General features: G+C 44.1%; 1 protein-coding gene across 25 annotated transcripts in view, besides 3 other annotated features; it reads left to right on the plus strand.

Moving 5' to 3' along the window:
- ZHX2 (zinc fingers and homeoboxes 2) overlaps nucleotides 1–16,242 on the plus strand; it is a 194,132-nt gene extending 177,890 nt beyond the window's left edge. For all 25 annotated transcript variants that reach the window (NR_182048.1, NM_001412806.1, NM_001412805.1 and 22 more), the window contains one exon: nucleotides 14,974–16,242. Coding sequence is in view for 1 of the 25 variants with exons in the window: in NM_001412813.1 (NP_001399742.1) it covers nucleotides 14,974–15,000 (27 nt within the window). In the remaining 24 variants the exon portion in view is untranslated. The remainder of the gene's footprint in view (nucleotides 1–14,973) is intronic.
- Nucleotides 11,836–11,935: a silencer, noted in NCBI's record as "silent region_19491". NCBI's record gives its function as "represses an Ori minimal core promoter by ATAC-STARR-seq in GM12878 lymphoblastoid cells {active_cell/tissue: GM12878}" and the evidence as "EXISTENCE:reporter gene assay evidence [ECO:0000049][PMID:35858748]".
- Nucleotides 12,176–12,585: an enhancer, noted in NCBI's record as "active region_27864". NCBI's record gives its function as "activates an Ori minimal core promoter by ATAC-STARR-seq in GM12878 lymphoblastoid cells {active_cell/tissue: GM12878}" and the evidence as "EXISTENCE:reporter gene assay evidence [ECO:0000049][PMID:35858748]".
- Nucleotides 12,856–12,905: a silencer, noted in NCBI's record as "silent region_19492". NCBI's record gives its function as "represses an Ori minimal core promoter by ATAC-STARR-seq in GM12878 lymphoblastoid cells {active_cell/tissue: GM12878}" and the evidence as "EXISTENCE:reporter gene assay evidence [ECO:0000049][PMID:35858748]".

A 24,424-nucleotide genomic window follows, 5' to 3' on the forward strand; every position in this document is an offset into this window, starting at 1 on the left:
CAGCCTTTGAATTGTGTTGTCTTGATTCAGTCCCTGTGTCTGAACAATGTTTGAGCCATTCCATTGAGGGACCTGTCCTAGGAAAAGGCTGAAAATTAGACTTATTTTTTCAGAAAAATGAGTCAACGTACTTGAGCAAGACATTGTCAGACATCAGCCTTGATGTTTGGTCAAATGGAATATTCCGTTACTATTGCTAGTGAGGGTTCCCATTAATTGACACCCACTGTGTGCTCAGCTGCCTTCTAAGCACGTCTACTAAGTCACTTCAACTTCATGCCCACCCTGTGAGGTAGGTACAGCCTTGTCCCCATTTTATAGAGGGCAAAACTGAGGGCCAGAGAAAATGAGTAACTTGCCTTATGTTCCTCAGCCAACAGCTGGAAGACCTTGGAGGCCACCTCTCAACTGTCAGGCCAGTGCCTGACCCCAGCCACTATGGCCCTGCCCTCTCCAACAGTGGCACCACCAGCATAGCCCAGAACAAACAGAGTGTGGTCATTTCTTGATTTTGTGTGGGAGTGGAAACTAATCCACAATGTATTCATTCAGCAAGAACTTTAGAGAGCCCTCTTTGTGCTAGGCCCTGTGCTAGTCTGTGTAGATTTGCCAGAATGTCCAAGACACAGCCCCTACCTAATCTCAGTTAATAAAGGTGAGAAATGGACATAGAAACACCTGTTTCATGAGAGTAGTGCACACAGAAACCAGAGGAGCTAGGAGGGGGAGAGGTGGCTTTTCCAACATGTTGTCTGATTCAGAACCTTCCCACCAACCTACATGTGCAAGCCACCTTCCCATTTATTTTAAACAAAGAATTCTGAGGCTCAGGAACCTGCCAGAGTTCACTCAGCCAGTGTCTAAAATTGACTCCAAAGCTCCAGCCACCACCTTCGCTGCCTCCTGATTTCTGTCAACAGTTTCCAACTCCTGATGATTAGGGATGACTTTGGAGAAGAGGAAAAAATTGTGAAATGTCAGAAAGGTATTTTCCATGGTTCGGCTTGGTTAAAATTTTTAAGGCTGCTAAGCATTGCATTCTGGTTACAATTTAAGATCCAGAAGAGGTATGCCCTCACACTCTGTTCAGATTAGCTGTCCAAATGCAGATATTTGAATGAATGAATGAACGAACGAATTAATTAACTAATTAATTAATGAGTGAATGAATGAAAATATTGTTGTCGACTGTTTCCCTCTCTCCTGTACCAGACCCTTACCGGCAGGGACCATATATCATTAATCTCTGAATCCCTAGTTTAGATTCAGAGCAGATGCTGAATAACGGTTTATTGAACGAACCAGAGAATTTTAAAAGATAGTTGGGATCTGGTATTTCAATCCTTTTGCTTGTCCTCATTTTTTTCCCATCACTCATTAGCTCCAATGGTTGACAGCAGCGAGAGGAGAGGGATTGGATACAGTTTGCTTCCTGTGTATGAAAAGCTCAAGAGAAAGGCCTGTTGGAGAATCTGTCACCAGATATTTACTGGTGATGCTTCTCAGGGACTGCCCGTTAGTCTGACTTCCCTCATGCCTAACAGGGAGTTAACTGATACCACTTCCACTTACTTAATTCTGGAGCTTCTCACCCTAGGAATTCTCACTGTGCTTTGGGTGACTTGTGGAGGCTTAGCCACCATGAAATCCAGCCCCCTCATTTTCAGAGGAAGGATGTAGGTCCCAGGGAGATGAAGTCACTAGCCCAGAGACATTCCTAATAAGTGATTTGGTTCATTCATCCATCAAGTATTTGTGGAATGTCTGCAGTGTGCCGGGCTCTGGAAGGCAGTGTGCCCAGCATGTCCCTGCCCTCATGGAGCCCTTGGTCTAATGGGAAATGAAGTTTTAACCAATCTTTAATCAAACAAAAATGAAAGTTGCTACACTGACATGTTCTTTGGTGCCGTTAGAGTATAGAATATGGGAATTTGAGGGTTTAAATAGCAGATTTAAGGTTTAGGGGACACTCCCTAAAGAGGTAATGGGGCCAGGCACAGTGGCTCATACCTGTAATCCCAGCACTTTGGGAGGCTGAGTCACACAGATCACCTGAGGTCAGGACTTCGCACAAACCTGGCCAACATGGTGAAACCCTGTCTCTACTACAAATACAAAAATTAGCTTGGTATAGTGGTGCATGCCTGTAGTCCCTGCCACTTGTGGGGCTGAGGCAGGAGAATCGCTTGAACCCAGGAGGTGGAGGTTACAGTGAGCCGAGATCGCACAACAGCACTCCAACTTGGGGCACAGAGCAAGACTCCATCTCAAAAATAATAATAAATAAGTAAATAAGAAGAAGAAGTAATGGATGGATTGAAAACCAAAGGGTTAGACCAACATGCAGGAGCATGCTGGGCAGAGAGGAGGGGAAGAATATTCCAGACAGAAGAAACAACATACTCAAGGGGAACTGAAAGGTGGCCATGGTGGGCATGACTTGCCTGGGTTCACACTTCACAGAAGTGCAGAGGTTAAAAGCCAGAGCGTTAGGTGGACTCACATATAATCAAAATTTCCCTTGAAATTCCTCTGTCTCACCAGTAAAGGAGATGACATGGTTCATTGTCCATAACCCTAGAGAAAGTTTGATGCCCTCTGAGCTACTCAAGGAAGGAGCAAAAGGAAAACCAACTTGCAAATGTCCTGGGCATTCAGACCCATCTGCCCTAGTGGAAAATGGAGGCTGGATGGTGGAAAATTCTAGAGCACCCACATGCCTATACATTTTACTTTATTCTTTCTATAACCTTAATACTTACTGTATTAGTCAGCTAAGGCTGCCAGAACAGAATGTCACAGGCTGGGTCACTTAAACAACAGAAATTTATTTTCTCACAGTTCTGGAGACTAGATGTTCAAGCTCAGGACACCAGCAGGGTTAGTTTCTGGTGAGGCCTCTCTTCGTAGCTTGCCAACACCCACCTTCTCACTGTGTCCTCACATAGTCTTTGCTCTGTGTGTTCACATGGCTGGTGTCTCTTCTTTTTCTTGTAAGGACACCAGTCCTATGAGATTAGGACTTAATTACCCCACCCTTAGTTACCTCCTTAAAGGCACTATCTCCAAATACAGTCACCTTAGAGATTACGGCTTCAACATATGAATTTAGGGGGGATATAATTCTGTTCATAATGCTTACAAACAGTTGTCTGTATTTGTCAGGATTAAGTGAGATAATATAAATGAAAGCCCCTTGTATTAGGCTGTTTTCATACTGCTATAAAGAACTGCCCAAGACTAGGTAATTTATAAAGGAAAGAGGTTTAATTGACTCACAGTTCAGCATGGCTGGGGAGGCCTCAGGAAACTTACGATCATGGCGGAAGGCGAAGGGGAAGCAAGGCACCTTCTTCACAAGGTGGCAGGAAGAAGTGCTGAGGAAAGAGGGAAGAGCCCCTTATAAAACCATCAGATCTCATGAGAACTCACTCACTATCAGGAGAACAGCTTGGGGGAAACCACCCCCATGATTCAATTACCTCCACCTGGTCTCTCCCTTGACACATGGGGATTATGGGGATTACAATTCAAGATGAGATTTGGGTGGGGACACAAAGCCTAACAATATCACCCCTAGAGCAGGGTTCTAGCATTAGTACCAATAGATACTGCATCTCAACTTGCTTACTGCTCTCTATATGGAGAAGAACTTGGCCCCCTGCTTCTTGCCTTTCCAAGTTGACCTTTTCTGTTGGGGCCCCACATGTTCATGCCAGTGGGTGTTAATTGCATCTCAGGAGGGGTTGGGCTGGGGGTGTCTGGGGCTGTGACACAGGGTAGCACTGCTGAGCACTCACTGTTCCAGGCCTGCTCAGGCACTGTGCATGTGCTGACTCATCTCATTCTCACAGTCACACTCCAAACTATTTTAATAGTTTTGGGGGAACATGTGGTGTTGGGTTACATGGATAAGTTCTTTAGGTGTGATTTCTGAGCTTTCGGTGCACCTATCACCCGAGCAGTGTACACTGCACCCAATGTGTGCTCTTTTATCCCTGACCCCCCTCTCATCCTTCCCCTGAAGTCCCCAGAGTCTATTATGTCATTCTTATGCCTTTGCTTCCTCATAGCTTAGCTCCCACTTGTGAGTGAGAACATATGATGTTTGGTTTTCCATTCCTGAGTTACTTCACTTAGAATAATGGTCTCCAACTCCATCCAGGTTGCTGTGAATGCCATTATTTCATTCCTTTTTATGGCTGAGTAGTATTCCATGGTATATACATACCACATTTTCTTTATCCACTTGTTGGTTGATGGGCATCTAGGCTCGTTACATATTTTTGCAACTGTGAATTTTGCTGCTATAAACATGCGTGTGCAAGTGTCTTCTTCATATAATGACTTCTTTGTCTCTGGGTAGGTACCCAGTAGTGGGATTGCTGGATCAAATGGTAGTTCTACTTTTAGTTCTTTAAGGACTCTCCATACTGTTTTTCATAGTGGTTGTACTAGTTTACATTTCCACCAGCATTGTAAAAGTGTTCCCTTTTTATCACATCCATGCCAACATCTATTATTTTTTGGTTATTTAATTATGGCCATTCTTGCAGGAGTTAGGTAGTATTGCATTATGATTTTGATTTGCATTTCCCTGATAATGAGTGATGTTGAGCATTTTTTTCATGTTTTTTTTGGCCATTCATATATCTTCTTTTGAGAATTGTCTATTCATGTCTTTAGCCCACTTTATGCGGGATTGTTTTTTCTTGGTGATTTGTTTGAGTTCCTTGTAGATTCTGGATATTAGTCCTTTGTCAGATGCGTAGTTTGTGAATATTTTCTCCCACTCTGTGGGTTGTCTGTTTACTCTGCTGATTATTTCTTTTTCTGTGCAGAAGCTTTTTAGTTTAATTAAGTCCCATCTATTTATCTTTGTTTTTGCTGCATTTGCTTTTGGGTTCTTGGTCATGAACTCTTTGCCTAGGCCAATGTCTAGAAGAGTTTTTCTGATGTTATCTTGGAGAATTTTTATGACTTCACGTCTTAGATTTAAGTCTTTTATTCATCTTGAGTTGATTTTTGTATAAGGTGAGAGATGTGGACCCAGTTTCATTCTTCTACATGAGGCTAGCCAATTATCCCAGCACCATTTATTGAATAGGGTGTCCTTTCCCCACTTTATGTTTTTGTTTGCTTTGTCAAAGATCAATTGGCTGTAAGTATCTGGCTTTATATATATTTTCTCTATCCTGTTCCATTGGTCTATGTGCCTGTTTTTATACCAGTACTATGCTGTTTTGGTAACTATAGCCTTGTAATATAGTTTGAAGTAAGGTAATGTGATGCCCCCAGATTTGTTCTTTTTGCTTAGTCTTGCTTTTGGCTATACGGGCTCTTTTTTGGTTTCATATGACTTTTAAGATTGTTTTTTCTAGTTCTATGAAGAATGATGATGGTATTTTGGTGGGAATTGCATTGAATTTATAGATTGCTTTTGGTAGTATGGTCATTTTCACAATATTAATTCTACCCATCCATGAGCATGGGATGTGTTTCCATTTGTTTGTGTCATCTATGGTTTATTTCAGCTGTGTTTTATAATTTTCCTTGTAGAGATCTTTCACTTCTTTTGTTAGGTATATTCCTAAGTTGGGTTTTTTTTGTTGTTGTTTCTTTGTTTGTTTGTTTTTTTGCACCTGTTATAAAAATAGTTGAGTTCTTGATTTGACTCTCAGCTTGGTTGCTATTGGTGTATGGTAGTGCCACTGATTTGTGTACATTGATTTTGTATTCTGAAACACTGAATTCATTTATCAGATCTAGGAGCTTTTTGGATGAGTCTTTAGGGTTTTCTAGGTATATAATCAACATAGTCAGCAAACAGCAACAGTCTGACTTCCTTAACTTGTATGCCCTTTATTTCTTTCTCTTGTCTGATTGCTCTGGCTAGGACTTCTGGTATTGTGTTGAATAAAAGTGGGGAAAGTGGACATCTTTGTCTTGTTCCGGTTTTCAGGGGAACTACTTTCAACTTTTCCCCATTTAATGTAATGTTGGCTGTGGGTTTGTCATAGATGGCTTTTATTACCTCAAGGTGTGTCCCTTCTATGCCAATTTTGCTGAGGGTTTTAATCATATAGGGATGCTGGATTTTGTCAAATGCTTTTTCTGCATCTATTGAGATGATCATATGATTTTTGTTTTCACTTTTTTTTAATGTGGTGTATCACATTTGACTTGTGTATGTTAAACCAGCCCTGCATCCCTGGTATAAAACCCGCTTGATCATGGTGGATTATCTCTTTGGTATGCTTTTGAATTCAGTTAGCTAGTATTTTGTTAAGGATTTTTGCATCTATGTCCATCAGGGATATTGGTCTGTAGTTTTATTTTTCTTTTGTTACATCCTTTCCTGATTTTGGTATTAGGTGATACTGGCTTCGTAGAAGGATTTAGGGAGGATTCCTTTTTTATCTTTTGCAATAGTTTCAGTAGGATTGGTATCAATTCTTTTTTTTGAATGTCTGATAGAATTCAGCTGTGAATCCACCTGGTCCTGGACTTTTTTTTGTTGGCAATTTTTTTATTACTCTTTCAGTCTTGCTACTTGTTATTTGTCTGTTAAGAGTTTCTGTTTCTTCTGGGTTTAATCTAGGAAGGTTGTATATTTCCAGGATTATTTATCTCCTCTAGGTTTTCTAGTTTATGCTCATAAAGGTGTTCATAGAAACCTTGAATATCTTTTGTATTTCTATGGTATTGGTTGTAATATCTCCTATTTTGTTTCTAATTGAGTTTATTTGGATCTTCTCTCTTCTGTTTTTTTTTTTTTTGGTTAATCTCACAAGTGGTCTATCAATTTTGTTTATCTTTTCAAAGAACCAGCTTTTTGTTTCATTTATCTTTTGAGTTGTTTTTTTCTTTTAATTTCATTTGGTTCTGCTCTAATCTTTGTTATTTCTTTTCTTCTGCTGGGTTTGGGTTTGGTTTGTTCTTGTTTCTCTAGTTTCTTGAGGTGTGAGTTTAGGCTGTTTATTTGTGCTCTTAGACTTTTTGATTGTAGACACTTAATGCTATGAACTTTCCTCTTGGCACTGCTTTTGCTGTATCCCAGAGGTTTTGATCAGTTGCATCACTATTATTGTTCAGTTCAAATAATTTTTTAATTTCCATCTTGATTTCATTGTTGACCCAAGGATCATTCAAGAGCGTATCATTTAACTTCCACGTATTTGTATAATTTTGACTGTTCCTTTCGGAGTTAATTTCCAATGTTATTCCACTGTAGTCTGAGAGAGTACTTGATATAATTTCAATTTTCTTAAATTTATTAAGACTTGTTTTGTGGCCTATCATATGGTCTGTCTTGGAGAATGTTCCATGTGCTGATGAAAATAATGTATATTCTGCAGTTGTTGAGTAGAACATTCGGAAAATATCTGTTAAGCCCATTTGTTCTACGGTGTAGTTTGCGTCTGTTGTTTCTTTGTTGGCTTTCCATCTTGATGACCTGTCTAGTGCTGTCAGTGTAGTGTTGAAGTCCCCACTATTATTGAGTTGCTGTCTATCTCATTTCTTAGGTCTAGTAGTAATTGTTTTATAAATTTGGGAGCTCTAGTACTATGTGCACATACATTTAGGATTGTAATATTTTTGTATTGAACTACTTCTTTTATCATTATATAATGTCCCTCTTTGTCTTTTTTAACTGTTGTTGCTTTAAAGTCTGTTTTGTCTGCTATAAGAATAGCTAGTCCTGCCCACTTTTGGTTTCCATTTGCATGGAATATCTTTTTCCACTCCTTTACCTTAAGTTTATGTGAATCCTTATGTGTTAGGTGAGTCTCTTGAAGACAGCAGATACTTGGTTGGTAGATTTTTATCCATTCTGCAATTCAGTATATTTTAAACGGAGCCTTTAGGCCATTTACATTCAGTGTTAGCATTGAGATGTGAGGTACTGTTCTATTCACATTCTAGTTGTTGCATGAATACCTTGGTTTTTTTTTCACTGTGTTACTGTTTCATAGGTCCAATGAGATTTATGCTTTAAGAAGGTTCTATTTTAGTGTATTTTGGGGTTTTGTTTTAAGGTTTAGGACTCCTTTTAGCATTTCTTGTAGCACTGCTTTGGTAGTGGTGAATTCTCTCAGTATTTGTTTGTCTGAAAAAGACTTTATATCTCCTTCATTTATCAAACTTAGTTTCACTGGATACAAAATTCTTGACTGGTAATTATTTTGTTTAAGGAGGCTAAAGATGGGATCCCAGTCACTTCTGGCTTGCAGGGTTTCTACTGAGAAATCTGCTGTGAATCTGATAGGTTTTCCTTTATAGGTTACCTGATGCTTTTGCCTCACAGGTCTTAAGATTCTTTCCTTCATCTTGACTTTAGATAACCTGATGACCATGTGCCTAGGTGATGATCTTTTTGTGATCAATTTCCTGGGTGTTCTTTGAGCTTTTTGTATTTGGATATCTAGATCTCTAGCAAGACCAGGGAAGTTTTCCTTGATTATTCCCTCAAATAAATTTTCTAGACTTTAAGATTTCTCTTCTTCCTCAGAAGCACCATTATTCTCATGTTTGGTCATTTCACGTAATCCCAAATTTCTTGGAGGCTTTGTTCATTTTTTTTAATTAGTTTTTGTCTCTGTCAAGTTGGGTTAATTCAAAAGCCTTGTCTTCAAGCTCTAAAGCTATTTCTTCTACTTGTTTGATCCTGTTGTTAAAACTTTCCAGTGTATTTTGCATTTCTCTAAATGTGTCTTTCATTTCCAGAAGTTGTGACTGTCTTTTCTTTATGATATCTGTTTCTCTAGAGACTTCATCCATATCCTGTATTGTTGTTTCAATGTCTTTAAATTGGTTTTCACCTTTTCCTGGTGCCTCCTTGAGTAGCTGAATAATGAACCTTCTGAATTCTTTTTCTGGCAATTCAGATTTCATCTTGGTTTGAGTCCGTTGCTAGAGAGCCAGTGTGATCTTATGGGAGTGTTTTAGAACCTTGTTTTATCATATTACCAGAATTACTTTTCTGTTTCCTTCTCATTTAGGTAGACTGTTTCAGTGGAAACATCTGGAACTCAAGGGCTGCTGTTCAGGTTCTTTTGTCCCATGGGGTGATCCCTTGATGTGTTGCTCTCCCCCTTTCTCTAGGGATGGGGCTTCCTGAGAGCCAGACTGCAGTGGTAATTATTGCCCTTCTGGGTCTAGCCACCCAGTGGGGCTGCTGGGCTCCAGGCTGGTGCTGGGGAATGTCTGTAAAGAGTCCTGTGATATGATCCATCTTCAGGTCTCCCAGTCTTGGATACCAGCACCTGCTCCAGTGGAGGTGGCATGGGAGTGAAGTGGACTCTGGGAGTCCTTGGTTGTAGTTTTGTTTAGTGCAGTGGTTTTCTCAAATGCTGGTTACACCAGCAGTAAAATTGCCACATGGACAGACTCAGGACCTCTGGTTAGCCAGGATGTTGCAGGCAGTGGCATTAGCTGTTGTTTGCTCCTTTGAAGCAAGGTTGTTCTGTTATGAGTTGCTGTAATGGCTTGAGTTGGTTGGCCTCCAGCCGGGAGGTGGTGCTTTCAGGAAAGCGCCAGCTGCAGTAGTAGAAGGGGATATAATTCTGCCCTACATTGGCCAGGATGAGTACTCGGGTTTCTTAGGCAATGGACAGGACCACAGAACTTCCAAAAGATTATGTCTTTTTTCTTCAGCTACCAGGGCAGGTAGAGACAAACCATCAGGTGGGGGCAGGGTTAGGCGAGTCTGAGCTCAGACTCTCCTTGGGCAGGGCTTCATGTTAGTTTCTTTATTTAGGGCTGATGAGAAGGCGGTGCAGAAAGGTAGCTCGTGCAAGTCTTTGAGGTAAAAAGTGGTGGAGCTGGAATTCAAATCCACCCCTACACCCACACATGTAAGCACTTTGGGGAATCTGCCCAGTGAGTTTAAAATACAATTCCATTTGCTCTGGTTCTATTAAATTCCCCTGGCCAATATGCACTGATAGGCCAGGAGCAGGAAAGGCATTCCTACTGTCTCTGAGCCTCCCTGCAAGCAGCTTGAGGAATATATACCTGGCCTGTGGGTCTCAGCAAGTTCCCCAACCCTAGAGGCCCTTCAAACCACGCAGGGAAGGAGAGCTTTGGCGGGATGTGGCCAAAACTGACTCAAGCCTGGTGTACAGACAATTTGGGATGGCACGGAGTTTTTGTCATCCACTGGGAAGTTGCTTAATCTTCCTCCAGTCCAACACATTTCCCCTTTTTAAATTCTAGTTAAAAATCAGACTGTGCCCCCTACCCTCAATAAAAGAAATGAAAGTTTGAACTCAAATATTATGAGGCAGGCCAGGCACGGTGGCTCATGCCTGTAATCGCAGCACTTTGGGAGGCCAAGGCGGGTGGGTTACCTGAGGTCACAAGTTCAAGACCAGCCTGGCCAACATGGTGAAACCTCATCTCTACTAAAAATACAAAAATTAGCCAGGCATGGTAGTGAGCGCCTATAATCCCAGCTACTTGGGAGGCTGAGGCAGGAGAATCACTTGAACCTGGGAGGCAGAGGTTGCAGTGAGCTGAGATTGCACCAGTGAACTCCAGCCTGGGCAGCAAGAGCAAGACTCCATCTTGGAAAAAAAAAAAAAGAAAAAGAAATATTATGAAGCAGACCAGACACAGTGGCTCACGCATGTAATCTCAGCATTTTGGGAGGCAAAGCCAGGTGGATCACTTGAGGCCAAGAGTTCGAGACCAGCCTGGCGAACATAGTGAAATCCCACCTGTACTAAAAATACAAAAATTAGAGCCGGGTGTGGTGGCACACACCTGTAGTTCCAGCCATTCGGGAGGCTGAGGCATGAGAATTGCTTGAGCCCAGGAGGTGGGGATTGCAGTGAGCCAAGATCATGCCACTGCACTCCAGCCTGGGTGACAGAGCAAGACTCTGTCTCAAAAAAAAAAGAGAGAGAGAGAAATATTATGGAGCAGTACAGAAATAGACAGTGGAGTGATGTTGACCAGGGGATGGGGCAGGGGGATGTGGGGAATTTTCATACAATGGGTGTAAAGTTGCAGTTATACAGATGAGTAACTTCTGGAGGTATGTTGTACAACATAGTGCCTGTAGTTAATAGGAAGATATTTACTTCAAAATGTGTTCAGAGGGCAGATCTCATGTTATATCCTTACCTCCCCACTGCCCCCCCCAAAAATAGACACAAGCAAACTTTATGTTTGTTACTGGATTGTAGTGACAGTAACATGAGTGTATGCATATGCCCAAACTCACTAAATTACATCCATTATGTGCGGCTTTCTGCAAACGAGTTATACGTCAATAAAGCTAGGGCAAAGAGGGAAAAAATGCAACCAGAAAGAAAAGACGTTGCCTACAGAGAAACTACAGTTAAACTGACAGGTTTGTCCGTATCAAAAATAGAAGCCAGATGACAATGGAACAAAATGTTTAGCAGATAACAGGCACTCGGCAAATGAGCAATAAACCTTGCTACACCTCTCAAAAAAAATGTTATGGAGAGATAATCAATCACTCTCTCAGTGTTTGTTTTCCTTTCTCCTGGAGTGCAGTGTTACTCACTCCCAAGTCCCTAGGGCCCTAGAGAAAGTTCTCCTGGGAAAATTAAAGAGAGACAGAAACAGAAAGCTGTCACATGGGAAAACAATTCTAATGTTTTTGTTTCTCCAATGAGGAAAGTAACAGAGAAGCAGATTTTGCTAAAGAATTAGTACTTCTTAACATTCCAGGTTTTCCCCAAGACAGAAAGGGAGGGTGGGAGGCAGTGGGTTCCTGTCCTGGGACGTGTTCACCGAGAGCCTGGACATCACGTGGTAGAAATGTCCCAGAGGCCATAAGGAAATGCCTGTCCGATGGCCTTGCAGCATCCTCCAGGGCTCTGAGAGGTACTCTAGGATGAGGCACTGGCCCTTTGCTGGGTGACTGTCTCTGACCAGGTAATAGGACTCTGAGAGAAGCCCAGGGGAGTTAGCAAGAGCCACACAGCCCAAAGCACTGCAATGCTCTATAGAACAGCAATCCTGAAATGTGGACTTTGTCACCACCCTTGGGTCACAGCCACTCCTCTGACAGCACTATGCTCACTTTCCATTTTCCATTCATTGACAAATGCCTGTTGAGTATGCTGCATGGGCCAGACTCCACAGGGAGCGGATGGGGGGGTCAGCCTGCTTGCTTTGCACCCTGTCTGTAACCCTGCCAGCAGCCCGTGGGCTCTGTGCAATGGAAGTGAGACTCTGGGAGGTTAAGTAACCAACCTCAGCACGTAGCCAGGAAGTGGCAGATCCTGGATCCCAGCTTTCTCCAACTCCACAGCTCTTTCCACCCCATCCTGCAGTCCTGTGCTGACCCAACGTTCTTTAGCCGGGTTGGGAGAAAGAACATCGGTAGCTGTCTTCCCGCCTTGGGCCTTGTCTCCTAGGATCTGGAAGTGTTCAGGGGGACATCCAATCAGTGGCAGCCTCCCTCCCAAAGGTGGTGGAAGTCCCCATTTGCTGGGGAAAACCCTGTTTCTTGGAAAGCACCGGCAGAGGCTGGCCGTGGGCTACTGTGCCAACCCAGGGAGTGCATGTGGCTCTGCCTGGGATCAGCAATAAGGCTCGTGGTCCTCACTGGGTGCCCCAGCCCCCTACCTTTGAAGCCACCATGCTCTCTTCAATTGCTACCTAGCTCTGTGCATGGAGAGGCTGTGCATGACCTGGACCCAAAATAGGTACAGGGAGGAGCAATTAAGAATCAGGAGGCTCTGAAGTTGGACTGGCCAAGGTGGAGTCGGGCTTCACCACTCACTGGTTACCTAATGTTAAGCACAACATTTAATCTCTCTAAGCCTCCATTTCTTCGCTATGAAGTGGGTCTGCCAATCACCTGCCAGTCACTGTAAGGAGTAGATGAGATGAGCCGTATTACCACTTAGCATGGGGCCTGGTGTGAGAAACTAGCTACTCTCACTGTTGGAGGGAGAGTCATGATCATTCTTGTTTTTGACCATGCCACTGAGCAGGTCCTGGCCTAAGAGAAAGCACTTTTCCTCCTGAGCTTCCTTTTTTTTTTTTTTTTCCTGGTGAAATGAGTGATCTTGACAACATCACCTATAAGGATCCCTGCAGTGTTTACAACTTGGTGACTCTGGCTGGATGACTTTTAGGTAGTCCAGATTCTAAGGTCACCCCTGGAATCTGGTTTTATCTGCAGACTTTTCTTTTATAAATTGGTTTCTTAACTCCAATATTCAATCTTACTCCCAGGAGCATCTAGGGAATGTGGGTGCGTTTAACATCCAGATGTTAGGCATGAATGGCATTATCGATGATCAGCTGATGCCTCTGGCTGAGAAGTCCACTCTCCTTGCTGTTGGCCCCTGTACAAAAAAAAAAAAAAAAAAAAATTCCTTCTCAGGGCTTTCTCAGCCAAACAGCCTTACCAGGAGGGAGGCAAAGAAAAGGCCAGTGGCTCCGAGAACCTACAGATCTGAAAAACTTCTAGCCTGTCATGGAATACTGGCTGTGTCCTCTAGAGACCTGAGCCTTGCTTGGATCCCTTTCCCAGGATCTCTAGATCTTGGGAGGAGACAAAAGTAATGATGGAGACCTGCCCCCATTTCCTCTACCTACCACAAAGTATTGCAAACTGGATGGCTCAAAACAATAGAAGTTTATTGTTTCACAGTTCTGCAGGCCAGAAGACAAAAATCAGGGAGTCTGTGATGGTTGCTTCCTTCTGAAGGCTGTGCAGGAGTCTGTTCTGTGCCCATCTCCCAGCTTCTGGTGTCTGCCGACAGTCTTTTGCATTCCTTAGCTTGTGGATGCATCAGCCCAATATCTGCCTCAATCATCGCATGGTCTCTTCCCTGTGTGTGAGTCTTCACATCTTCCCTCTATGCACATCTGTCTCTGTGTCCAAATTTCCCCCTTCTGTAAGGACACTAGTCATGTTGGATTAGAGTCCACCCTGATGGCCTCATTCTCACTTGATTTAACTGTGTTACCTCTCTAAAGGCATTTCTAATAGGGTAACATTCTGAAGTACTGAGAATCAGGACTTCAATATATACTTTTGGGGGGACACCATTCCACCTATAATAAGGTCCTTGGACTATTTTCATTACTTCCAAGGGTATAAGAATTAAACATTTCTTCCTACTGATTCTTAATAATTCTGTTTATTAAGTGCACGGACTCTAGAGATTACCTGGGTTTGAATCTTGGCTCTGCCACTTACTAGCTGTGTGATCTTGGGAAACTTATTAGGCCCCTATATGTTCAGTTTCCTCAACTGTAAAATAAGAATAATAATAATATTTACACCTCTTAGAATTCATATAAACATTAAATAAAAACACATTTACAATGCCTCATCTTATCACTCTTCTATATCCTACCACGTTTGGAAAAGGCTCCATCTAATAAAAACAGCAGAAGTATCTACAATACTTACCATGTGCCAGGCACTAGTCCAAATACTGTTGTGTACATCAACGCATGGCATCATCGCAGCAACTTTCTAAGGTGGGTGCTAGTGTCATCCCTGTTATACAGAAGCAAAAACTAAGCCCTAGAGTGATCAAGTCCTATAGGTACAGCCCTGCAGCCACTAAGGGGAGAAGTTAGGACCCAAATCCAGATTTGTCTGACTCCAGGGCCTTTTAGGAGCCACTGGGACTGGTTGACTTTCTAGGAATAATAAAAGGGTCTTGTAAGGATGAAAAGAATCACAGGCCACCACCTTCACTTGCCCAGAAAGTCACTCTGTTTTCAAAGGCCTGATTCTGGAGGCTTTTCCTATTATGGCGGACTGTGCTCAGAAAACACACTCGTTTCTTTACAACAGGCCCCGTACATGAAGGGCATGTGTCTCTCTTCCAAGCCCCAGGATGACTTTGGAAGGCCCCCACCCCAACCCAGGAGAGCCAGGAAGAAGCAAACCATGATGCCTTCCCCCCAGGGAACAATGGTCATTTGCCTGACATCTTGACTCTGTGGTTTTGTGTCTTCTAGGGAAGTCTGTTAGAACTGCTGTGCTGATCAACGGGACGCTCCGTCTTTGAAGAAAGAAGAGATGGTCTCTCCCCAGCCATGGGCCACCCTTGCCAGTGACTCCAAGTGGAACTACTTAGCTCGCGTGTGCCTGGAGGGTGCGGGAAGTCCAGCGACTCTCAGACGCACCTCCCAGAGGACCGGTGGGAATTGTTCATAGTGCCAAAGTCCTACTACTGCGTTTTCAATGGGTCCTTGTACATAGTTTGCTCCTCTGCCCTAGCCCTCACCTCTTGCTATACTGGAACCGATTTGTACAATGTGGGAATTTTGTTACCTTTTTAATCAAGGGCAACTTCCTTTTCCAGCACTACCATTGTAAGGTTTTTTTCAGGAGGGAGGGCTAACCACCTTGCTTTTCTCTTTTCTCTTTTTCTTTTTTTTATTTTTGTTTTATTAATTTGGGGAAAGGGGTGTTAGCATTAGTGCCATGATATCTACTGGATTTTAAGTAGGGAGACTTTATTTTTAAAGGTAGGTTGAAATTTGGGAGATTTCTCGGCAGGAAGGGCTGAAATCCAGGCCCCTGTCTCAACTTGGAGAGAGGTGACAGACGGCAGATCTTCCAAATCAAATTCCTTTCCAGTTCTTCCCCTGGCTGCCTTTTTGGGGGTCCCTGCCTTAGCCCCACACAAGGCTTTCTGAACTGCCAAGAGGGGATCTGGCTTCTCAACTGCTCGGCCTCTTGGGCCAGGCTGTGCCCAGCCAGCCCTGGGAGAACTGGGTAGCAGGTGGCTGACTTCTTTAAGCACCTTTCTAAATACCAGCAGAAGAGGCTCCCGCCTCTGTTAGCATGATCAGTACTATTGTGACATTAAAACAACAACAATAAGATCTTCCTATCTGGAGGGTACAGAGGTGAATGGCTTTGGTTTTCATTTCTCTTCTTCACTGCCTTTTCTCGGTGTGGTATTTGACAAGATTTTAGCTCAAAGCCTCACCATGAATTGATTTTTTTTGTTTGTGTGTGTGTTTGTTTTGGGACAATTTTAGATACCTGAGTGCACTTTTTCAGTTAGTCCTAACTTTTAAAAGAAGGAAAACCAAGAGACATATCTGGTGTACGTGTTGCAGTATGAACTCTGGTTGCAATCCCTCCCCGTCCCACACTGCCCCCCATTTGAGTACACCGCACAAGTCAAACGCTAGGAAGTTTGAATAAAACCAATTTTTCTAACTTGTTGCTCATTTGTTGTAACTCAATAAAGCAAAGACTAAACATTTTTATAACCTTTTCCTCTACTTCGCCTTCTTTATTGTCGTCTGGCTCCCGAGGGCTTGGTGTAAGGGTTCTGACTTGGATACCTCCCGTTTCAAATTCATTTTCCATCCTGGAGGGATCTGACATCGCAAACTGGACTTTAAAAATGGGACGTAGGCCCAGCGCAGTGGCTCACGCTGTAATCCCAGCACTTTGGGAGGCCAAGGCGGGTGGATCACCTGAGGTCAGGAGTTCAAGACCAGCCTGGCCAACATAGTGAAACCCCATTTCTACTAAAAATACAAAGATTAGCTGAGTGTGGTGGTGTGCACCTGTAGTCCCAGCTACTCAGGAGGCTGGAGAATCGCTTGAACCTAGGAGGCGGAGGTTGCGGTGAGCCAAGATGGCGCCACTGCACTCCAGCCTGGGCAGCGAGAGTGAAACTTTGTCCCCTCCCTCCCCCCACCGAAAAAAAACTGGATGTAAGTGTTGTAGGAATCTTCAGCAGATCTCATCGACACAGAGAAGGAAGGTATAGGCCCTTCCTTCTCCCGGGTCTCACAAATAGATTCATAAAATAGTCAAGAGAAGAGCTTCAGAGTGGGAATGAGAAGCCCCTCTGTGCACAGGCTCGCCCTTGGATGACCTGAGCTAAGTCGCTCCCCCTCCCTGGGCTGCTGGCGAGTGGTAGCTGGGGCACTGCCATTTCTCTGAGAAGGTGGCTTTTAAGTATCTCTGCCCTGGTGAGGTTTAAAGAGTCCCTCACTCTTCACACCTGACACTCGTCTAGACCAGTGGTTCTCAAACATGAGTGGGCACCAGCATCACCTGGAAGGTTGGTTAGACTGTCTGATCGGCATGTCTGGGGTGGGAACCGAGAATGTGCATTGCTAACAAGTTCCTCACCTTGGGAACCTCTGGTCTAGATGGTTCATTTTTACGGGAACTTACAGACTTTTGGCCAGTTTATCTAAACTTAGCATGTGTTTATTCTACAGATAACGGGAAAGACCCACTTCCCAAAATACAGGAAACACTGAAAAATTCAAGATTCAAAAGGGCCTGGCCTTCTCTGGGGGATTCCCTCAGTCCCCCATCCTGTGGGCTCCCATGACACCCTCTCTGCACATAGCCCTCACCACACAGCTCTCGGATTCATTTGGTCAGCTTGTCGATTCCCCCAAGCTGAGAGCAGGGGCCATAGATTTTCCATAACTTTACACCTCTCCAAAATTCCGCTAATTCTCTTTACCACTCAGCAAAGTTGAATGTAGACAGCGATTCAAAAATAAAAATAGGCCAGGTACAGTGGCTCACACCTGTAATCCCAGCAATTTGGGAGGCCGAGGCGGGCGGATCACTTGAGGCCAGGAGTTCGAGACCAGGCTAACCAACATGGTGAAACCCTGTCTCTACTAAAAATACAAAAATTAGTTGGGTGTGGTGGTATGTGCCTATAATCCCAGCTACTGGGGCTGAGGCACAAGAATCACTTGAACCCAGGAGGTGGAGGTTGCAGTGACCCAAGATCACTCCACTGCACTTCAGCCTGGGCAACAGAGCAAGACTCCATCTCAAAAATAAATAAATAAAAGTAAAAATCATAGCTATCTTTTTTATTGAGCACTTATTATGGGTTGGGCTTTGCGCTGAGTGCCTTACATACATTTTCTTATTTTATCTTTACAACCCTGTGAGATAGGTGCCCCCATTTTGCAAATGAGGAAACTGAGGCTTAGGTTTTGTAACAAGCCCAAGAACATGCAGATACTAAGCGGTTGTCATGGGAGCCTACTAATTTTGCCTATTATGTGTCCCTTACCTGCTGCTTCTGGTAAAAGCAGCCTCTTTTCTATGGGAACTGCCCTCCCCATTCCATGAGGCTGTGCTGTGACTATTGACAGACCTGCTCAAGCAACATGATCCAAGCCTAGCCAATCATAGTTCCCGTCCCCTGGCCCTAGTGATGGCATGTGGGTCAAGCAGGGCCAACCAAGCCTCTTCTTGAGAGATGGCTGTAAAGAGAAAAAAAGCTCATTCTTTCTGCTTAGGTAGCTAAATTAAGAAGATGTGGGCCAGGCCAGGTGCAGTGGCTCATGCCTGTAATCCCAACACTTTGGGAGGCTGAGACGGGTGGATCACAAGGTCAGGAGATCAAGACCATCCTGGCTAACATGGTGAAACCCCGTCTCTACTAAAAAACACAAATACAAAATTAGCTGGGCGGGGTGGCGGGCACCTTAGTCCCAGCTACTCAGGAGGCTGAGGCAGGAGAATGGTGTGAACACGGGAGGTGGAGCTTGCAGTGAGCCAAGATCGCGCCACTGCACTCCAACCTGGGCAACAGAGTGAGACTCCATCTCAAAAAAAAAGAAAGATGTGGGCCTGGGGCTGACTGCAGCTATTTTCTCTGCCATGGGGAGGATGTCTCTCTACAAAACATAAAAACTCAGTGAGAAAAGCAAATATTTGCTAGTATTACAGTTGTTGGAATATGGCATAGTAGATAAGTTGCTTGAACAAGGAAACACCAAAATGCAGTGTTTGAAACAAGATAAAAGTTTATTTCTGTCTCAGGCAACAGTCCAGGGTGGGCCATCAGGCAGTGCTCCACAGAGCCATTCAGGGACCCAGGGTGCCAAGCAGCCCTGCTGTCCTCAGCAGGCGCCTTCCATCTCTAGATCAGAACTGACTGCTTCAATTCCTCATCCACGTGGCCAAAAGTCCACTTCTACATTCCAGCCCTTGAGAAACAGGAGAGCAAGAACTTCAGTTTTAAGGTCATGAAACAGAAACTGGTCACTTCAGTTCCTATCCTATTGGCCAAAACCTAGACATGGTGACACCTCAATGGAAAGAAAGTTGGGGATGTAGGCTCTGGATAGGTGGCCAAGAACCAACAGAGAAGGGGCTCTGTATCTGAAAGGAAGAAGGGGAGAGTGGATATCAAGGATAGAGCAATCTCAGGTCAAGTTTACCTCCACCCTCCCCAGTTACATGAGCCCAGAATGAACTATTTATGTTTTCAGCTGGTTTACTAGGGTTTTTGGAACTTAAAACCAAAAATCATGATCAATATAGTCTTGAAGCCTCAGTCTCCCTGACTGGTGCTCTCAGGGGCTGCAGGGGCTGAATCACAGAGGAGAGGGTCCTGGAGTAGATAGAATGGAAGGACTGGCAGGTGAGTGCAAGATCACATCTAAAGAGGGCTTATTTGGAGTGTCAGACCCACTAGATGAGAAATGGGAGACAAAGAAAGAGGTCTTGAGCAAAGGGCCCCAAGTCCACATTGAGTCAAAAGGATGACAACAGGTGAGTTTCAGCCTTCTGCCATGAGCGAAGTGGGCCCAGGTATGTCTTTATTCCTCTTGAGTTCCAGTGACATCAAGAAGCAGAAGGTAAGGCAACTAAGTGCACAGGCTCGAGTCACGCTGCCTGAGGTCAAATCTCAGCTCTGCCACTTACTAGCTGTATGACCTTGGGCAAGTCACTTATTCGCTCTGTGTCTCAGTTCACTCACCTGTAAAATGAGATAATGATTGTGTCTATTCATATCGTGGCAGGTACCATGAGTCAGTATAGGGAAAGCATTTAGAATAGTTCCTCGTATCTATTAAATTCTCAGGGTTGCCATTGTTATTCCTGGGTGCATAATGCATGGATGGATTGACCCAAATTAAAATTATAGGGATTGGACAGACTCCCTCCCCCTTTTTATGAATATCAGCATCTAGCACATTTGTGTTGTTGGAGAGTTCTTGTCCTTGACTAGAAGCCTTGCAATCCTGCAGCAGCCATTGACTGTGAGCTCCAGTTGCCTTGGAGATACCTTCCATCAACGTCTATCCTCAGACCTCCCTCACCACTTCCTCATTCTTTCTCAGTCCCCTGCACTCCTCCAGTCTGTGGCATAGGCAGGATGCAAGGATGTCTTCTCCCTAATGAACTCTTCTCAGTCCCTCTCAAAGCTCACACTCCAGATGCCACACTCCACCTGGTCCATTCTAAGAGCACCTGATCTCTCTGTTATGATCTCTGCTCAAGTGTCACCTGCCCTCCGTGACCCCCTGTCTGCAGAGGTAGGACTAGGGTGAGTCAAGGAACGCACCTAAGGGTGCAAAGTTTAAGGCAGAAAGGTCATGCAGGTGACAAACCCTGCACTTGCAGAAGCCTGAAAGTGGGTGCCTGCCAAGATTTCTCATCCTAGGTGCCTCATGTGCCTCACTCTAGCCCTGACCCTGCCTACCCTTCATGCTTTTCTCTAACCATGCTTCATTATCTTCCGTCTTGCTTTTCACAACATATCGTCATGTATCTGTTTGTTTTTTGCCTTCTTCATCCCACTATATTGCAAGCTCCATGAGAGTAAGGACTGTATCTATCTTGTTTCCTCACTGTATCCCCTGTGCCTAGCACTGCATCTGGCACAAAGTAGATGCTCCATAAATATTTGTTAATGGATGGATGGGTGAATGGATGGATAATAGATGGGTAGATGATGGATAGATTATGAATAGACGGATGATGGATGGATGGATGAAGACTGCCAGCTCTGCAGTCAAACAGCCTGAGTTTGAATCACAGCTCTACTGCTGACCAGTTAGGTGATCTTGTGGGAGTTACTTAGCTTTTGTTGGAGCCCTGGTTCCTCATCTGAGACCTGGAGATGATTATACTCACGTAATAGGTTTGGTGTGAGGTTTAACTGAGTGCATGGGAGCAAAATACTCAACACACAATAAGAGCTCTACAAATGTCCATTCCCCTCCCACCGCTCTATGCAGGGAGTGACATCAACCCAAGCAGTGTGATACCTGTGCCTTTCCATCCCTGGATAGGAAGTTTGTGTGAGAAGGGCAGCCAGGAGGAAGTCGGATCCAGGTCTAGGAAATGATATTCCAGACATGTGCTTCTGGCATTGGAGACTTTGCCATATGTAGCCAACGCTGTCTTTAGCACCCTCTACCCCCAAACTCTTCCCTAACCCACAAACATTCCAAAATTCCAACCTGCACTTTTCTTTAAAAAAAGTTAAAGTTGCTGTGGCTAACTCATCTCCCAGTTCCTGCCTGCACTGCCTTCCCTGCCTGTGCCCCCAGCACCTGAACCTTCCCCAGACCTCATCACCCACATACTGTCTTGTCCTCCCTCCCATTAATGAACATTTCCAACACTCTCTCCCTTGACAGGTGGCTGCCTTCCCCTCCTGCCATTTACCACCCTTGTGCTTAAGCTTGCCACTCCAAGGCAATTTAAATAAATCTTTCGAGCAAGATGGTATGAGATGCTATCAAATGCTTGAAGGACCCAAAGAGAAAGCCTTGATAATTGATGGGGATGAAAATACAATGGGAAGATGGGTGTGCTCTTTTAAACACCCAGCAAAATATGTCAAGATATCTTCCTCCACTGGAAATGATTAAAGAGTGGCAGAAACTAGGAAGGAGGTTCTTAGGGGGAATAGAGGGGCAGGATTCTTGGTGAGGTGGAAGAGAGTGGTGGGGTGGAGCGACCATCTGCTGCTGCTTCTGTCTGCCCTATACCTCTTGAACTCCTTCTCTTCCTTGAGGATGTACTCATATCTCCCTCCACTCATCTCATTCTTGGGGCTTCCCATCATGGTGACCCACTCTCCGATCTACAGCAGTGACCCACGGCACTCTAGTACCCTATTCAGGGACAGGTACAGTACCACGCATAAGACCCAAACAGCACCAAGTCAGATACTGGGAGGAAGAGCTTCCTTTCCCATTTAGATGGTAAGTGCAATCATGTTAGCTTGGAACCACCAGTGGCCAAAGCCCCTGCCAGGGAGAGGAAGCCAGTCCTTAAGTAGAGAGAATGGGGCCACAAACTCAAGAGGCAAGGGAGCAATAAAGGATGGAGCAAGGGATGATGATGGTGGCGGTGATGACGGCAGTGGTGATGACAATGTTGATAATCATGTGAATCCCTGGAGCCTGCCATTCCTAAGGCCAACTCCTTGTCTTTCCAGTTTCATAAAAACCAACATATTTTCCTTTTTAGCTTAAGCTTCAAATCTTTTGAGTTGGGTTTCTGTCACCAGAAACTCAAAGAGTTCTGGTGGGTTAATGAAATTATGAGATAAAAATGAAAGGAAAGACAGCAATTGTAAATAGCCATGTTGGCTAGTGGCTTCAGTATTGGATGGTGCGGTTCTTAGTCCTTGCCATTCAAATGTGCTCCTGAATCAGCAGCATAGGTATCACCGGGAGCTTGTTAGAAATGCAGTATCTTTGGCCCCTATGCCAGACCTGTTGAATCAGATTCTGTAATTTGACAGGATCCCCAGATGATTCGTATGTTCAGTAAAGTTGAAGAAACCCAGCTCTGAAGACACTAAATGGCTCCTCCCCAACCTCCTCCAGCACACTAAGGGATGGGTGGCAAGTCTAATAATACATCACTGGCCTGTCTGCAGAGGGTAGACCCTAGGGCCTGGGAACAGGGAGGCAGAGGAAGAACAGGGCAGAAAGAGCATGGTCCACCAGCTGATGACACACTTGTCCTTCTAGGCCACCTGGTGCACAGCCACTTCCAACCAACAGTGCTTGGAAAGGATAGCTCTCACTGACCTGTCACAATGCAACCCAGAGAGAACCAGGAAAGATGTCAGCTCCCTCCTTCTAATCGCTGAAAGCTCCTGTCTCCAACATCTCACAGCTGGACATACGTATAAAGCACAGCAGAAAAATTATCATTGCCCTGGGCAGGGGAAGGGGGTTGATCGATAAAAATGAATAAAAAACACTTCATGAGCACATCCCATGACATGCTGCAAGTTGAGTATCCTGTAGAGTGTAGGAGGCATCCTGATCTTGACTTTGAGAAACTTAAAATCAGAGGGAGACCAAAATGTTCACCAGTAATTCTGAAACCTTCATCCATAACAAGCCCCCAAAGCACTACAGACTGCCTTAATCTGGATCCTTGCAGGAAAGAAATTGAACACTTACAATGGGTAAACTGGGAGTGGTTTATTAAAAAGGATTTTTATAAAGGTGTGAACAGGGTTTAGAAAAACTAACAAGGGAAGATGCAGAAAGCCTGGCTTGAAGGGACAAGGGATGGACAAAAGATGCCAAATGCACACTAAGCTTGCCGTCATACCCCACTCCACACCCACAGCAGATATTAATGATCAATCAAACTACCTTCGCCTGCTGGACTTGGTCAGGTCTTCATGATACTTAACACAATGCTCCACCACAAATCTATTAACCTTGGAACATGAGATGAAATATGTGATGGATGCCATTGGTTGCCCAACTAATATCCATCCCCCTATCCTTCCTTGCCAACAGAACCAAGATATTCCTCAGGCAGTGTCTTCATCTACTTGTGCTGCTATAAAGGAATAGTTGAGGCTGGGTAATTTATAAAGAAAAGAGGTTTATTTGGCTCATGGTTCTGTAGACTGTACAAGAAACGTGGTGCTACCATTTGCTTGGCTTCTGGTGGGGGTCTCAGGTTGCTTCCACTCATGGTAAAAAGTGAAGGGGAGCTGACTGTGCAGAGATCACATGAAGAGAGAGGAAGTAAAGTGGGGAGGGATGTCAGCTCTTTAACCAGCTCTCAGAGGAACTAATAGAGCCAGAACTCACCACAGAGATAGCACCAAGCCATTAATGGCGAGTCCACCTCCATGACCAAAACATCTCCCATTAGGCCCCACCTCCAACATTAGGGATCACATTTAAACATGAGATTTGGAGGGGTCAAACAAACCAAACTATAGCAGACAGTAGCATACCCATGCCCAGGTGAGAAACTCAGTTTCCCAGCTTCCCTTTCAGCTAGGTGTAGTTAGTGAGACATCACCAGAAGGCCACTGAATAGTTGGTGCTACTCTCCTTCTTTACTTTTTCTTGTCTTGTATGCATTTTGTGATCTCGAGACTGAGTTCTTTTTGACTTTAGAGTCCATGACCAAGTGCTGCAGCTTCCTGTTTCCAAACTTCTTGATATGTGAGAAAAGTAAACCCCTATTTGTTTAACCCATCACTCAGTGAATTTGTTTAACACATGCAATCAGATGCACTCATAATTAACACAAATCTATCTGCCATCCCTGGGCTAGATAGATATAAATCCTTTCTCTCATACATGCATTCATTTATCCCTATACTAACTGCCATGGTAAGATAAGTCAGGCATATACATTGCCTACACAAGGAAATTTGATCTATGT

This window comes from Homo sapiens, chromosome 8, assembly GCF_000001405.40.
Source record: "Homo sapiens chromosome 8, GRCh38.p14 Primary Assembly".
NCBI lineage: Eukaryota > Metazoa > Chordata > Mammalia > Primates > Hominidae > Homo > Homo sapiens.